Source organism: Homo sapiens, chromosome 19, assembly GCF_000001405.40.
Source record: "Homo sapiens chromosome 19, GRCh38.p14 Primary Assembly".
Taxonomy (NCBI): Eukaryota; Metazoa; Chordata; class Mammalia; order Primates; family Hominidae; genus Homo; species Homo sapiens.
The window spans coordinates 51,049,570-51,066,403 of NC_000019.10; the positions used below are offsets into that span (position 1 = coordinate 51,049,570).

The 16,834-nt window shown below is 46.0% G+C and overlaps 1 protein-coding gene across 10 annotated transcripts; it reads right to left on the minus strand.

The window, feature by feature from the left end:
• Window positions 1-6,056: 6,056 nt before the first annotated feature.
• Window positions 6,057-16,110, minus strand: KLK13 (kallikrein related peptidase 13). 10 transcript variants are annotated; one of them, NR_145465.2, is made up of 6 exons: window positions 15,447-15,523; window positions 14,017-14,292; window positions 10,864-11,050; window positions 10,467-10,524; window positions 8,969-9,105; window positions 6,057-7,206 (listed from the first exon to the last, which is right to left on the minus strand). NR_145465.2 is itself a non-coding variant. In XM_047438578.1 (6 exons), exons 2-6 carry the CDS (start codon window positions 15,496-15,498, stop codon window positions 7,018-7,020), a joined length of 834 nt encoding a protein of 277 aa, XP_047294534.1. In that variant the 5' UTR covers window positions 15,499-15,537; window positions 16,069-16,110; the 3' UTR covers window positions 6,057-7,017. The 10 variants fall into 10 exon arrangements, 5 of the variants coding, with proteins under 5 accessions (XP_047294534.1, NP_001335106.1, NP_056411.1 ...); NR_145464.2 differs by having other exon boundaries at window positions 10,176-10,524; XM_047438578.1 differs by lacking the exon at window positions 14,017-14,292 and adding an exon at window positions 16,069-16,110 and having other exon boundaries at window positions 10,256-10,524; window positions 15,447-15,537.
• Window positions 16,111-16,834: the final 724 nt, after the last annotated feature.

Below are 16,834 nucleotides of genomic sequence, written 5' to 3' on the forward strand. Positions count from 1 at the left end.
GGCACAGTGGCTCATGCCTGTAATCCCAGCACTTTAGGATGCCAAGGCAGGAGGATTGGTTGAGCCCAGGAGTTTGAGACCAGCCTGGACAACATAGTGAGACCCCCATCTCTACAAAAAATTTGAAAAATTAGCCAGGTATGGTGGTGTATGCCTGTAGTCCCAACTACTTGGGAGGCTGAGGTGGGAGGATGGCATGAGCCCAGGAGGTTGAGACTGCAGTGAGTTATAATTGTGCTACTGCACTCTAGTCTGGGTGATGGAGTGAGACCCTGTCTCAAAAACACACAAGCAGCAGCAACAACAACAACAAAAAGAAGTTGTCAAATGTTTTCTAAAGTGGTTGTACCATTTTGCATTGCCACCAGTAGTGTGGTGCCAGTTGAACTTGGCCCATATCTTTGTCAACACTTAGTATTGTCAGTCTTTTAAATTTTCACCATTGTAGTTGGTAGCACTATACCTTTAAGATTTGATTCCTGCTAAAACGGTGAAACCCCGTCTCTACTAAAAAAAATACAAAAAATTAGCCGGGCGTAGTGGCAGGCGCCTGTAGTCCCAGCTACTTGGGAGGCTGAGGCAGGAGAATGGCGTGAACCCGGGAGGCGGAGCTTGCAGTGAGCCGAGATCCCGCCACTGCACTCCAGCCTGGGCGACAGAGCGAGACTCCGTCTCAAAAAAAAAAAAAAAAAAAAAAAAAAAAAAAAAGATTTGATTCCTATTGCTGTCTCTAGTTTGTTACTTTTAACTGCTGCAAAGTCCTCCATGGGGGAATCCACCACATTCTATCATCCACTCCCCCATTAATAGGTAACCAGGTTTCTTCTAATTTCCACCACAGCAAAATACTGTGTGACAGAGAGCTTATATCTCTGCCCCTTTGTGATGTGCATAATTATTACCTTTGTGTAGACATCCAGAAGTGGAACTACTGGGTCTTAGGATGTACATATACTTAATTCAGCCAAGCAATGCCAAATTAGTTTCTGAAATAACCACACCAATGTACGTTCACACCAGCTGTGCACAAGCGTTCCTGTGTTTCCACATCTCTGCTAATACTTGGGGTTACTTAACTTTGAAATTTTCTTAAATCCATCTAACAAATGTAAAGCAATTGTTATTTGTATTTGTGTTTCTTGGATACCTAATGAGTGTGAGCATATTTTGTATGAGTTTTTTGAGTTTCCTTCTTTATAAATCTGTTCATATCCTTTGCTCATTATTCTTATTTTTTTTTTGCAGTACTTCCTTGCATATTTGGGTCAATATGTCAATCTTAAGTCAATAGTACAGACTGCAAATGTCACCTCTCAAGCTGTTACATGTTGATTTACCTTGTCCATTGTGTCTTTTGATGAACAGAAATCTTTAACTTTGATGTAATGAAATTAAACATTATTTTGCCTTTAGATTTGTCTTTCTGAAGTTTTAAAAAATCCTTCCTCAGGCCAGGCACAGTGGCTCACGCCTGCAATCTCCGCACTTCGGGAGGCTGAGGTGGGCAGATTGCTTGAGCCCAGGAGTTTGAGACCAGACTGGGCAACATGGCGAAACTCTGTCTCTACAAAAAATACAAAAAATAGGTGGGTGTGGTGGCATGCACCTGTAGTCCCAGCTACTTGGCAGGCTGAGAGATGGGAGGATCACTTGAGCCCAGGAAGTTGAGGCTGCAGTGAGCTGTGATTGCATCACTGTACTCCCGCCTGGGTGACAGAGTGAGACCCTGTCTCAAAAAAAAAAAAAAAAAAAAAAGAAGGGGAGGAGGAGGAGGAAGAAAAAGTCCTTCCTAATCCCCAAATCACAAAAATGTTATCTGCCATTATCTTCTTCTTTTTTTTTTTTTTTTTTTTTTTTTTTTTTTTTGAGACAGGGTCTCGCTCTGTCCCCCAGGCTGGAGTGCAGTGGCGCGATCTCCGCTCACTGCAAGCCCCGCCTCCCGGGTTCACGCCATTCTCCTGCCTCAGCCTCCCAAGCAGCTGGGACTACAGGCATCCGCCACCACACCGTATAATTTTTTGTATTTTTAGTGGAAACGGGGTTTCACTGTGTTAGCCAGGATGGTCTCGATCTCCTGACCTCGTGATCCGCCCACCTCGGCCTCCCAAAGTGCTGGGATTACAGGCGTGAGCCACCGCGCCCGGCCTCTGCCATTATCTTCTATTAACTTTGTAGTTTGACCTTTTGCTTTTAGGTCTTAAAGCCATTTGGTGTTAAGCACCATTGTTATACGTACTTGAGTAATGGGAAAACTGAGGCACACAGAAGGTGAGTAATTTGAAGACTATACAGTTCAACAAGTGACAGAGCTAGTATTCAAACCGAGGCAGCCTGGCCCCTGAAACTGTGTTCCGTAGCTACTGTGTCATGCTGCTTCTCCATTGACCAGGATCGGTGATTCAGAAGTTGCTGTGTGCAGAGCCTTTAAATGCCAATCTTTCACTCTGTCCTCCCAACAGCCCTGAGCAGTAAGGCCTGTTATTACCAGATTAAAGAACTGAGGTTCCCAAAAGATAAAGTGGCAAAACCAGATCTTTCAGACTCCACCCTTTGTGTTTTTGAACACTAAACTATAGTCTCCCCTGAAATAACCAGGAATCACGCAGGAATCATCCTCAACATTCACCCTCACCCCCACAGACACAGTTGATCCTCATTATTCATGAAATTTGTATTTTCAAATTTACCTGCTTGATAAAATCTGTGGGTAGCCCCCAAACCAATACTCTTGGGACTTTTGCGGCTGTTTGCAAATATGCAGAGTGGTGAACAATTTGAATTGCCTGAGGTGCATGCTCCCAGCTGAGGTCGATTAAGGCGATGCTGTCCCTTATTTCAGCTCTCATTCTGTAAACAAGTGTCCTTTTTGTGGTCTAGTTAGTGCCACGTTTTGCACATTTTTGTTGATTTCGCTGTTTAAAATGCCCCCTCAGGACAGTGGTAAAGTGCGTCTAGCATCCTAAGTGCAGGAAGGCTGTGATGTACCTTATGGGAAAACACACAAAGCTGGGTGCAGTGGCTCATGCCTGTAATCCCAATACACTGGGAGGCCAAGGTGGGAGGATCACTTGAGTCCAGGAGTTTGAGACCAGTCTGGGCAAGAGAGTGAGACCCCATCTCTACAAAAATAAAAAAGAAAATTAGCTGGGCATGGTGGTATACGCCTGTAGTCCCAGCAACTCAGGAGCTAAGGCGGGAGGATCACTTGAGCCTAGGAGTTCAGAGCTGCACTGAGCTACGATTGCACCACTGTACTCCAGCATGGGCAACAGAGCAAGATCCTGTCTCAAAAAAATAAAATGAATAAAATAAATTTTGAAAAATTTAAAAAGAAAATACACATGTTAGAGAAGCTTCATTCAGGCATGAGTTACATCGCCATCGGCTGTGAGTTCAATGCATGTATATTAAGCTGTCTTTAAAGAGAAACACACCTAAAACAAGGTTATATATTGATCAGGTGACAAAAAGATTGTGACCAGAGGCTCGAAGGAACCTATATTTCCCCCCTAGAAGCAATGCTTTAATAGTTGCTAATTCAGTGTTAGAGGTGACTTTATAGAACGTAAGTAACTACTGTGAATAATACGATTGATTGTATTGCCGAGTTTCCTCAGTGTGACTGCAAAACGCTCATTCTAATCCATCTTCATCTCTGTTGGCTGAGCCATCATCTTACCCACTGATTACTGCAGTAGGCTTCAGGTTCATCTCCTGGCTTCCAATACTCCCTCCTGGTACCTTGTCTCCACCAGTAACCCAGCAACCAGAGTGATAATCCGATTTCAGATATTCCTCCCCTGTTGACACTCTCCAGGAGCTCCCCCACTACAATGGGAGAAAGACCACCTCCCTGACTACAGCTAAAAAGATTCCGAATATTTGGCTCCAGCCAAATCCTCCAGTCTCATTCCCTACCCAGTCACTCGTTCATCATTACTGTACAGTCATGCTGGCCTGCCCTCAGATCCTGGAATAGGCTAAACTCAAGGACGTTGGCCCAGTGGTTTCCTTTTTCAGAGGTATTTCCCCCATTCTTTGCTAAACTGGCTCCCTTTAACCCTTTGGCCACATGCCACCTTCTCCGAGAAGCCCTTCTTGATCACCCTATTCAAAACAGCCTCCTCCTTTATTCTCTAACACAAATCCTTGCTTATATCCTTCATGGAAATGATTGCATTTGTTATTATCATCACACAGAAATCATCACAATCTGCAGTTATTTAGTTTGTGTAGTTGTTTCTTTTCTTTCTTTTTGAGACAGGGTTTCAGTTTGTCACCCAGGCTAGAATGCAGTGGCGCAATCTTGGCTCACTGCAGCCTCCGCCTCCCGGGTTCAAGTGATTCTCCTGCTTCAGCCTCTGAGTAGCTGGGATTACAGGCGCCTGCCACCACCAGCTAATTTTTGTATTTTTAGTAGAGACGGGGTTTCACCATGTTGGCCAGGCTGGTGTTGACTCCTGACCCCAAGTGATCCGCCCGCCTCAGCTTCCCAAAGTGCTGGGACTACAGGTGTGAGCCTCCATGCCTGGCCATAGTTGTTTATTTTCTATAAATTCTCAGAGAACAGTTTATTTCCACTTGAGTGTCTAATAAACAGTTCAAGACAAAATTTCCTCATCTCTGCCCTAAAACATGTTCCTCTCAGTTTCTCGCATTTTTGTAAATGAAAGCTCCATCCTTCCTGTTGCTCAGGCCAAATTGCTGGAGTCATCTTCGACTCTTCTCTTTTTCTCACATTCCCCCATCTGATGTTGGCAGATATGGTCCAACAGTCCCATCAAACAGATCCAGAATCTGACCTCTCGCCTCCTCTACGGCCATCACCTTGGTCCAGGAACCGTCACCTTTTGCCTGGGCTAATGCAGTCCCTTCCTCGCTGGGCCCCCTGAGTCTGTTCCCCATGGAGTAGCCAGAGGAATCCTGCGCACATTGAAATCAGTTCAAGTCCCTCCTCTGCTCAGAGCCCTCTCATAGCTCCTGGCTCCCTCAGAGGAAAACAAAGTCCTCGTCGTGCCCCACAGGACCCAATGCAGTCTGCTCCGTTCATTCTCTGCCCTCACCTCCCACCCTCTCCTCCTTGCTCACTCAGCTCCAGCCACACCAACCTTTTCACTGATCTTCAGACACACCAAACAGGCTCCTGCCTCAGGGCCTTTGCACTAGCTGTATCCCCTGCTCCAGCAGCTGCTCCTCAGATATGTGCTTTGCTCCTTCCCTTCATCCTTTCGGTCTTTCTTTAAATGTTACCATCTCAGTTAGGTCCTCTTCCCTGACCATGCTGTTTAAATTGCAATGCCACCCCTTCCACATATACAACCCTACATTCCCAATTCTTAATCCTTTCTTCTACCTCTTCCTCTTCCTCTTGCTCTCCTTCCCCTTCCCCTTCCCCTTCTCCTTCTCCTTCTTCTTCACAGGGTCTTGCTCTGTCACCCAGGCTTGAGTGTACTGGCACAATCACAGCTCACTGCAGCCTCAAACTCCTGGGCTCATGCAATCATCCTGCCTCAGCCTTCTGATTAGCTGGGACTACAGACTTGTGCCACCATGTCCAGCTAATTTTTTAAACTTTTTTGTAGAGATGGGATCTTGCTATGTTGTCCAGGCTGGTCTTGAACTCCTGGTGTCAAGCGATCCTCCCACCTTGGCCTCCCAGTGTTGGTATTACAGGCATGAGCTACCACATATGGCCCTTGTTTCATTTCTTGCTATGGCTTGCAGCACCACCTGACAGCCTATTTCTTTATTCATTGTTATGGAGACTTCTTGAAAAGAATGTAAGTTCTACAAGGGCAGAAGTTTTTATCTGTTTAACTCATTGGTTATCACTTGTCTCTGCAACAGTGCCTGGCTCTTGATAGGTACAAATATTTGTTGAGTAAATAAACTATATTTAACAACACCCAGGAGAGTGCTTGCACATAGTCAACACTGAAGAAATGTCTCCTGAGGAAAATAAATCAGTGCAACACTTTTTTTGGACACTCTGCAAATTCGAAGGGCTGTTATTAACATTCTAAGGTAATATTTTATGGGAACCATGCAAATAATAATAGTGATAAATGCTTGACATTTATTCTTGTAATAATGTTACAATTAAAAAAAATTATGAACCCATTTTACAGATGAGAAAGCACAGAGACTGTGAGTTTTATAACTTGTCCAAAGCAAGGATTTGCACTACATTTTAGGGTCATGCACAAAGATGTAACAGCAAGGGACACTGACCAAGGATGTTCATGGAGGGGATACAAGACGGAATATTTGGTAGACAATAAAGTTCAGGCAAGAAGACCCTTTGGTATACTGAACCCTATAACTCTAGAGACTAGGGTGCCATTGATTCAGAGAGGGAATGTTGGCAGAGGTGGGGTATTGGAAGAATGTGGGATGTAGGTTGGGTTGGGACTTCTGAGACACCCATAACAGTGTGAGAATGAAATATTCTGAGGATCCAATGTTAGCTGTGGTGAGTCACAGAGGTACACAGAATGTTGTCAGGGCAGAAGATTGTGGGCATAAGAGAATATTTTCAGGATGAACTATCATGGGAGTCTAGAGCCTTCTTGAGTGCAAAAAATAGAAGGTCTAGGATACTGGCATTGAATAAATACTTGAAGAGTTAGAGGATGTTGTCAAGGATGGTCCATTTATAGGACATATATTGTTGAGATGGGCTGATGGAAATATTTAAGAATGTGCCACAGACAGAACGTTCAGGTGGTGATCTGGGCTCATAGAAGCCACACTGATGAAGTTGAGAGACCTGGGCCATTGTCTGGGTTGGGACATTCAGGTTGTTGAGATGTTTCAGGGATGCAACATCTGGGAGACTGCAAGCCTGGCAGTGCCTGAATGCTTCTGAAACATGGAATGTTAGCTGAGATTGAGCATTTTTCAGGACATGGATCACTGGTTCAAATGGAACACTGGGAATAAGGAGCAGAGAAGGGCTAAGCAGACCATGTGAGGAAGTCATGGTGACAGGATGGAAGCCGGTACATTTCTCAACTTTTATTGTGGGCCCTTCAACCATTTTTGCTGCTGGGTTTCATATTTTCGGATTGTTTCACGGATCCACAGGACGTATCTTGAGACACGGGTGTAGACACCAGGCCGGTCAGGTTGCCCACATGGGAAGTCTCCCCAGGAGACGATGCCATACAGTGTTCTGTTACAGACCAGGGGGCCCCCAGAGTCACCCTGAGTTGGGGAAAGAAAGAGAGAGAGAGGTGGGTCCTTGCTGGGGCTAAACAAGGCAGGGACAGGGAGGTGTGGGGAGAGAGTGAAAGATGGAGAGAGACACACACAGAGAAGGAGACTCAGAGAGGCAGAGTCAGACACACACAGTGTGAGAGAAAGCAATGAAGACAGTGAGAAACAGACAAGAAGACAAACACAGAGGGACAGACAGCAAGAGACAGAAATAGGGACAGAAAGACAGAGATAGGCCCAGAGAAAGAGAGACACAGAGAAATTTCTGTGTTTTTCTCTGTTCCTCAGTTTCATTAAAATGGTAACAACTTACTTCATACCCATTTTTGTTTCCCTGGTACTAAATCACCCCCTGCCCCACACCAGCTGACCCTGCTCCTATTTAAGGCTCATTTGTGTCTCTCACTATTGAGTGAACCCATTCATATCTGGGCAGGGTATGCAACACACGTGTAAGTCTATTTCTCTTCCTGGGCCCAAGGCAGACATCACTAATCGATCAAGGCACATATCATTAATATAGTATCATACTCTTTCTCACTGAATCCAATCTCAACTTCTTTATTGATGAAGGCTATTTTTTGCTCATGTAGTATCCATTTCCTCTTATTTTTAAAAAATTAAACATTCATTTTTAAATTTTTATTTATTTATTTATTAGAGACAGTGTCTTGCTCTATTTATTTCTTTTTGTTTTAGAGACAGGGCCTTGCTCTATCACCCAGGCTGGAGTGCAGTGGCATGATCATACCTCACTGCAGCCTTGAACTCCTGGGTTCAAATAGTCCTTCTGCCTCAGCCTCCCGAGTAACTAGGACTGCAGTTGTACTCCACCACACCTGGCTAATTTAAAAACTTTTTTTTCTTTTTGTAGAGACAGAGTCTCACTATGTTGCCCAGGCTGGTCTCAAACTCCTGGGCTCAAGTAATCCTCTCACCTCAGCCTCCCAAAGTGCTGGGATTACAGGCATGAACTACTGTACTTGGCCATTTCCCCTTATTTTGGTAACAGCCTCTCCTGATTTTTTCATTTGGGGAACTGCCCTTCTCCACTTCCAATCCATGCAGTTTGTCCCTGCCCCTCTCCAGCACCCACAGTTAACTATGTGACTCAGGCTTGGCCCATCAGAGAATCCCACAGCTCTGGTGGAGTGATGGCTCAAGACACATGACTTAGGTCAGCCTAGTGAGAATCATGCTTAAGACTTTTGTGTGAACTATTGGAAAAGAGAGGTTCTCTTTCTAATAGGGTTGCCTAGAGGGTAGGATGTAAGCTCAAAGCTGCTGGGGCCATCTTGTCATGGGAAGAATCTAACCGAGAATGAAGCCAAAACAGAATAAAGAAGAGCTGAGAGTTAAAAGAAAGACAGAATTCCAAACACACAATTTGCATACCTGGATCCATCTGTGCCTAAAGCCAGACAACCTGGATTTTCAGTTACAAAAGCCTGCATTTTGTTTAAGCCAGTTTGAGTTGGTTGTCTATCACTCACAAGTGAAAGAATACCAACCTTTATGCATCTCAACACAGGGATCTTGGCAGCCACTCAGTCAAAGCTGGGGCTTATGATGAATTATTCCTGCCATCCCTGGGTACCCCTTTTTGTCTTGACCTCCTATGTGAGGGGACATTGTATCTTATAAAGATTGGTTCCCCTAAGGCTGGAAACAAAGCTTTTTCCCCAGCATCTGTCACTTCCATTCTGGCTTTCTATCCTGTCCAAGGCACCCACCAGCCTCCCGGCCTCACCTCACAGGAGTCTTTGCCACCCTCTTTTGTGCCGGCACACAACATGTTGTCAGTGATCTTTCCTGGGTAGACTTGACGACACTCCTCATCTGAGCGAAGTTGGATGTTGGCACATTGTAGAGTTTTGGGGTAATTCACTGGGGAGAAGAAAGAGAAGGTCTAAGGTATCCGACCTGGATAGGATATGGGATGAAGGTGAAATAGGCGAGTTGAATGGGTAAAGAGTAGATAGAAAATTGAGATGGGAAGAGAAAGATGGGAGAAGAGATGAGCACCTATCTGGGTAAAGCAACGGAAGTGACAGAAATATGGAGGGACATGGGAGAGAGGCGAAGGGAGAGATGAGGAGAAAAGTGGAGGGAAGGACAAGGAGGGAAGGGACAAGAGAATGGAAGGTTGATAAGGAGAGTGGTGGAGCCAGCGGTGGGGAGAGAAAGTTGGAGAGAGGGAGTTGGAATAGGGAGATGGTCAGAAATAGAGAATTAAAGATGGGAAAAGCAGGAACAGGGATGGGAAGAGTTACGGGAGAGTTGGATAGAATGGTAGGAAGAGAGACAGGGCATGTTGAGGAGAAAGATACAAACATGAGGCTGGGAGAGAGTCAGGGATTGCTAGGGAGATGCAAAGGGCTCTTGTCGGTATATACATCAACTTTATATTCACATATATAATGTATTATACTTACTAAGTAATGATATAGAATTAATTATTACATTGAATTATTAGACATTTCATTAATAACCATATTTAATATATTAAACATTTTATAAATTATAGAAATATAAACATTTTATATGTATGATTTATATATTATAAATGATAAAATTCATTTACAGTATATAAATATATAAATGTATACATTTATAAAATACATTTATAATATATAATTTAAATATAGATTATATATAATATATACATTATGCAGAAATACATATTTAAAATACATAATTGATAAATTTTATAATTTATAAAATACATTTAATTTGTATACTTTTTGTATAATATATAATTATATTACTATATAATACATAATATACATCATATAATATATTCATATATTAGATCTATTTATATTTCTATATATTCATGAATTTATATACTCATATTTTTATATATTCATGAATTTATATTTATATAAAGGATACAGCTAACTTTAAATATATATATTTATTTACTTATTTATATTTTTATATATAAAGGAACCTACCTCAGACCTTCCCTCCCATCTCTGCCCCTGTTTCCCCAGCCACTCCTATGGGGCCTCAGGCCACCTGTGTGGGTGCATACCCTGGGGGCTGGTGGTGGTGCCCCAGCCAGACACCCGACAGGTGGTGCCAGGGGTTAGGCGGTTGTTGTGGGAAAGGGGCAGGGTTTGGATGTAGCCTGTGAGCTGGACCGGGGACTGCAGCTCCAGAAGCATGATGTCATGGTCGTGGTTCAGGTGGGTGGGGCTTCTCCGGTATTCAGGGTGGGGGATAGAGTGGACAACTTCCCTCACCTGCTCACCAGCTTCCACACGCCCTAGGGCGTGCTTGCCTAGGTAAACTTTGAGCCCCCTGTGGGTGCAGAAAGAAGGTGGTTAGGAAAGAAGATGAGCCCATTTCCATCCCCATCCCAGCCCCAACCTCTTCCCATCCCCAACCTAACTTCTTCTCCATCCTACCTTCCTCATCTCCAAATACATCTCCCCCATCCTCAACTTCAATCCCATCCAAATCCCCTACTTTGATTCTATTCCCATACCCAATCCCCATATCTCAACCCCAAACCTCATTCTCACTCCCATGTCCATCCCCAACCCTAACTCCAACTCCATCCTCAAATCCAACTCTACCCCATCCACAATCCCAGTCCCATTCTCATCCCTACCCCATGCTCCCCCGGCCCCCACATACTCCTTTAGACAGTGTGCGGCAGTGAGGACCCATTTGGGGTGGACCAGGACTCCCCCACAGAGTAGCCGCCCTTGCACTAGTAGGGCAGCCTGCCAGGGCTGAGAGTGGGGGAAGCAGGTGTAGCCACCTGGGAGAAACCCACTGGTCCCATTGGTGTTGAGAACCTTGGAAGACTCCTGGGAGACACCTGGTAAAGAAGAGAGATTGTTAGAAAACTGGGATCCAGGGGGCAGAGGAGCCCTGGGGTTGTGGTTTCTGGGTTTGGGGTAAGGGTCGGATTATTGCCCTGGGTGACCAGGAACTGAAGATGAATTTGCCGACCTATGGCAGTTGCTATTCTTGACCAAGTGGAGATGAATTAGGGCAAAGGGGTGACATTATTTTCTCAGGAAGTACCAAATCCTCCACTGGGGGTTAACAGAAGAGTTCACAAAATGAGGATGTTGCTGATAGGTAAGCAGGAGCCTGACTTTCTCTCCACATGCATTTTTTATATCATTCTACCAGAAGATGGATTTCAGGAGGTAGAAGTGAGACTGACCTACACATCCACCTAGGCAATATCTATCCATCAATCTATCCAATCATCCATCCCCCATTCATCCTATTGATTTGTCCATCCGTCTACTCATCCATCTATCCATTCATCCATTTAGGTAGTCATCTAACCATCTATCCATCCATCCATCCATCCATCCATCCAACCATCCATCCACTCATCTGTCCCTCCATCCACTGGTCCATTTATTCATCCATCCATCCATCCATCCATCCATCCATCCATCCATCCATCCATCCAATCCAACCATCCATCCATCCATCTATCCATATATCCATCCATGCATCCATCCAATCATCTTTCCACCCATCTCTCTATCCTTTCACTGCATATATACTGGTTGCCTCCATGGCTTTAAATACCAGCTATAGGCTAATCATCTCCAGCCCTGAACTCTTCTTTAAGCTCAAAACTCAAACACTGTTGATTTGGATGCCTTACAGGCATCTTAAGCTTTGTATTCCCAACTTGATTCTTCTCAATCAAAACTGTTCGCTCCAGTATTTCCCACCTCAGTGCTCAGCCCCAAACCTGGGAGTCATCTTTGCTTCTCTTCTTTCCTTCATCACTCACAACCAGTTCCTATTGGTTTTATCTCCCAAATATCCAGTTATCTCCACACTTCTGCCACCATCTTGGTCCATGCCCCATCTTCTGTAGCCCAAATGACTACAACATTAACCTAAATCCTTCCACTTTTACATCCCTCCGATCCAGTCTTCTCAAAGTAGGCTGAGGACTCTTCAAACAAAGAAAGTCAGATGTTGTTCCCAGGCTCAACTTTCTTTAAAATAAAATCCAAAAAGCCTTCCCAAGGTGTGCAGGACTCTGTGCTGTCTGGCCCTTGCCAGCCTCTTTGACCCCATCTCCAACCTCTTTCTTCTGACTTCCTCTAGTCCAGCCTCATGGGCCTGTTCTTCAAACACACCAGGCATTTAAAGAAAAGAAGAATTTAAATCATCTTGGATGCCCCCATACTAGACATTTTATACTTGCTATTTCCTCTCTCTGCACAGTCCTTTCTCCAGACCTATGTTGTTTAATATGGTAGCCACTAGCTACATGTGGCTATTTAAATTTAAACTAATTAAAATGAAGTAAAACTAAATTAAAAATTCAGTTCTTAAGTCACACCAGCCATATTTCAAATGTTCAATAGCCTGAAGGGGCTAGTGGATAATTGGACAGCACAGATATAGGATATTTCATATATACATATATGGAATATTCTACTGGATGACCCTCAGAATTTAGAGGTTGTATGTCTGGGTCCTTCTTAATTCTGAGAGGTCAGCTCAAATGTCTCCTCTTCAGAAAGGCCTTCCCTGACCACCTGGTCTAATGTTGACTCTCCTGGTCCCGACTCCTCCCCCATTACATTCTTCCAGTTGGTCTTCATCAGAACAATGATTGCTATTCATTTCTCTTCACATTTGTATGTATTCGTTTTTAAAAATCTCTCCACTTTGACTGTAAGCTCCATTGACAACAGGCACCTTAACTGCTTTATTCAGTACCATATTCCCAGGACCTAACACAGCGCCTGGCACACAATGGGGGCTCAATAAATAAATGCTGTGTGTGCCAGGCACTGTGTCTGGCATTGAAAGCACAGCAGGGGTCCGTGGGACAGGGAGAATCCAATCCTGAACATGCATGCCATTTTGTGACTGTGTGACCTTATGCAAATCACCAGCCTCAGTTTCCCCAGCTGTCAAGTAGAAAAAGTAATAGTTCATCTCTCATTGCGCAGTTGAAGAATTCAAGATGATCCTGCATTTCAAACCGTGCAGCACAGCAGGTGGCATGGAGAGCACTCAGTCAGTGGGAAATGTTATTATTAATTATTAGCTACAACAGGAGGTCCCTCTGCCTCCCTAGCTAGTTTCCCCAACTACAGGGCAAGCAGTTGGATTAGCTCAGTGGTTTGCAGTTAGGGACAGAAGTTGTCGGTGAGCACAGGATCATTTTAGATGGTAGAGAGATGAGATTTAAGTAACGTTAAATCGCACACTCAGACGCTGAACCAGCATCCAGTTCTCTTTTAAACCTGATTTTGTCAAGGATAAAGTCTCAGGATGGTGCTAATATGGTTTTAACACCTCCCTAATCCTCACTGAGCTCACTTTTCAAAGCCAGGAGGACACAGAAGCCTCATCAGGCCACCTAACATTTATTACACTGAACCATCTGCAAAAGTTGTTTTAGGAAGGTCAAAAAGGGTCAAGTATCAGCAATTTCAGGTGGTCCAACCCAATAAACATATTATTTTCTTTTCATTGTGCAGGATTTATTTCCTTCCTTACCTTCTATTTATGACAAAGAATTCTATTCTCTATTCAGGACAGTAATATAAAGTTGAACATGCTTTTGTTTGAGTGAAAAAAGAAGAAAAAAAGCTAACTTTAAGCAAATGATTAGGTCAAAAGTTATAAAAATGGTTTTCAGAGCCTCAAGTCCAGGATATGGACAGGGAAAACAACCTTGATTAGGATTCTGACTCAGGCATCGCCGGTGTCATTGGAGCAGGAGCCTTCTGTCTTTGAGTCCTAGGTTTCTCTGCCATGAAATTGGAGTAATTACAATGCACCTACCTCGCCAGGTTGTTGAGGACTCCACAAGGCGTAGCGTGTGGGTCTCCTAGCCTAGGGTGTGGCACTCAGGAGTGGCACGGGCATGAATCCAGGGAGTGTCGCCAGAGGAGAAAAGCCACCCCACCTTCAGGCCAAGGATGGTGCCAGGTGCCAGGCACCCACAGATCCCTCCTTTTTCAGGTCTTGGCTCAAGGGTCAAGCCCTTTGGGAAGGCCTCTGGTCGGGAAGCCGCCATTACATCTCTAGGCCCCTGGCTTGGCTCCTTGAAGTCTTCACCTCATGTCAAGATAATTATTAACTAATTATTTGGATAATTGTTTGAATAACATCTGCGTCTGTCCCCGCTAGACTCCAGGTGCTGAGAGCAGGGACTGTGTCTCTGCTTGTACAGCACCCAGCACAGTGGCCGGTGTTTAATAGCTGTTTGTTGAATGAATAAATGATTCATGAACGGGGTTTCCAGAGAACCTGCCTACAACGGCAGGGAAAGATGGGAAAGATCCATAAGGATCTTAAGGACTACCAATTTGGGGTGAGGTCACATAGGTTTGGGGTCAACCCAAGGATTAAAATAACAATCTAGAAGGTTCTGGAAGGGGCTGAGTATGAAGACAGAATACTAGAGGCCGGGCTCGGTGGCTCATGCCTGTAATCCTGGCACTTTGGGAGGCTGACGCGGGCTACTTGAAGTTAGAAGTTCGAGACCAGCCTAACCAACATGGCGAAACCCCGTCTCTGCTGAAAATACAAAAATTAGTTGGGCGTGGTGGCGGGCGCCTGTAATCCCAGCTACTCGGGAGGCTGAGGCAGGAGAATCGCTTCAACCCGGGAGGCGGAGGTTTCAGTAAGCCAAGATCGTGCCACTGCCTTCCAGCCTGGGAGACAGAGCAAGGTTCCATCTCAAAAAAAAAAAAAAAAAAAAAAAGGAATACTACTAATAAAGTAATAACGGCTAAGTGGCTAACTTTCAAGTCCCTTCTACCTGCGACATACTGAAGGCTCGACGCATTACCTCGTTTCAATATTCACAGTGACCTTCTCTGGTAAGCACTTATAGATTAAGCCCATTTTCCAGATGAAAACAATTTAGGCACAAAGCAGCTGCTAGGCTACTGGCTCAAAGCGGCAGCGTCAGGACGCGAACCCATGTCTTTCAGCTTTCCAGAGAGGACAGGAAGCCTTGAACGCGGGAGGGGCTGCTGCGAGGGTATTTTGGGAGGTGAAGGGTCTGGGGTCGGAGGGCCAACCTCAGCCGGGAAACCAGGTCACCCAGGGACAAGCAGGAAGAGCTCTGAGCTGTCCCCACTGGACCCGGCCCCGAGTGGGCGGGGGGCGGAGCTCGCGGCTCCCACGCCCCCTCCCCCTCCGGCCTGACCCCTCCTACCATTGTCCCGAATGGCCGCCGCGCCTCCACCCCCGCGCATTCTTACCTCCTGACAAGGCCAAGGTCAGGGAGGCGATCACTAGGGCCAGGGGCCACATGGCTCCGGGATCGGGAGGGGAGGGCAGGGCGGGCGGGGCCTGAGGAGAAGGTGAAGGGGGTGTTGAGGGCGTGCCCGGAACCTCCGCGTCTGAAACCTCTCTGCTCCTGAATGTCTCCTCGCCTCATTCACTCTTGACAGCCCTGACCCTGGAATCTGCCCCCCGCCTCCAATTCCATCCTTGGTGGGGGTGCAGTGGCGAGGTGGGAGGAACAGTGTGCAACCTCCTGGGGCTCCGGCGTGCAGCCCCTCACCCCAGGAAGCCGTCCCTCCTCCCCTGCCCTCTGGCGAGCTGGGTGGTCGGTGCACTCTCGCCCTTTTCCTCCAGAGTCTGCCTTCCATTCTACCCCTCTGGGTCTGTCCACACGCTTGGTATTAGCCCAAGTTCTTATCTGTCCGCGCCCTTCGCCTCTCTCCGTCTCTGCAGGTTTCTCTCTAGATCTGAGACTCTAGCTTCACTCTCCCTCTCCCTGACTCAGCTGCCCTTCTGCTTTCCCCATCCTTCCTATCCCCTCTTCTCTCCCCTCCCTGCCCTCCTCCGCTCCCCGCCCCCGCCCCAGGCAGACCCTACCTGAGTGAGGGGCCCACGAGGAGCGTCAGCCGCCAGCTGTCTAGAACTTCAGCCCCGAACCATGGCTTTTAACCCCTGAACTCCCTCCCCCAGCTCACTCAGCATTTCCTGGTCCCTGGCCTCCCCCTCTCCACCCCCAGTGGCTCAGCGGGATGTCTCCAGGCACCCCCGACCTGGGCTTGGCCCTCTGCTTGGGGCGGAGCTTCCAGGACGTGCTGGGACCTAGGTCTGACCCCGCCCAAGGCAGAGTTGAACCCACTGTGAACTTTCAGGCCTCAGGACCCAAAAAAGGGTAAGGGGAAAGCCCATTTCCTTCCCCCTACCCCGCTGAGTTCCATGCCCATCCCTAACTTCAACCCATTCTGCACCCAGTTTTCTAACCTCTTCTCCAACCCCATGCATAATTCTTAATAGGCAGTCAGCCCCCAGATGGCCGTGTTCTATCAGATTCCCACCTCCCTATCCATCCCTAACCATACCAAGTACTCCAGCCTGTTCCTCAACCCCAGTCCCATCTCCAACCTCATCTCAGGTTTAGCTCTCAACACATCCAGGTTCCAATTCCCAGTCTCATCTCAACCCTTTTTCTTTTGAAAGACACAAGGACACCCACAATTATCCCATCATCCTGCCTCCCTGCTCCCGCCAACCACCGGACACAAGAAGGAAATCATCAGCTGGGTGGATAGAAAATCAGCTCCCTCGGACTTGGATGGGGGCAGAGATGCGACCTGAGAAAGCAACATTTTCCAGAAATGGCCTTTTA

Excerpts from the sequence above, each read along its gene's own strand:
- KLK13 (XM_047438578.1), bottom strand. The coding sequence starts at position 15,498 with ATGTGGCCCCTGGCCCTAGTGATCGCCTCCCTGACCTTGGCCTTGTCA. Across the intron at positions 10,525-10,863 it reads GCCGCACACTGTCTAAAGGA|GGGGCTCAAAGTTTACCTAG; the intron begins GTATGTGGGGGC and ends CTGCACCCACAG. Across the intron at positions 9,106-10,255 it reads CACCACCACCAGCCCCCAGG|TGAATTACCCCAAAACTCTA; the intron begins GTATGCACCCAC and ends TCTTCTCCCCAG.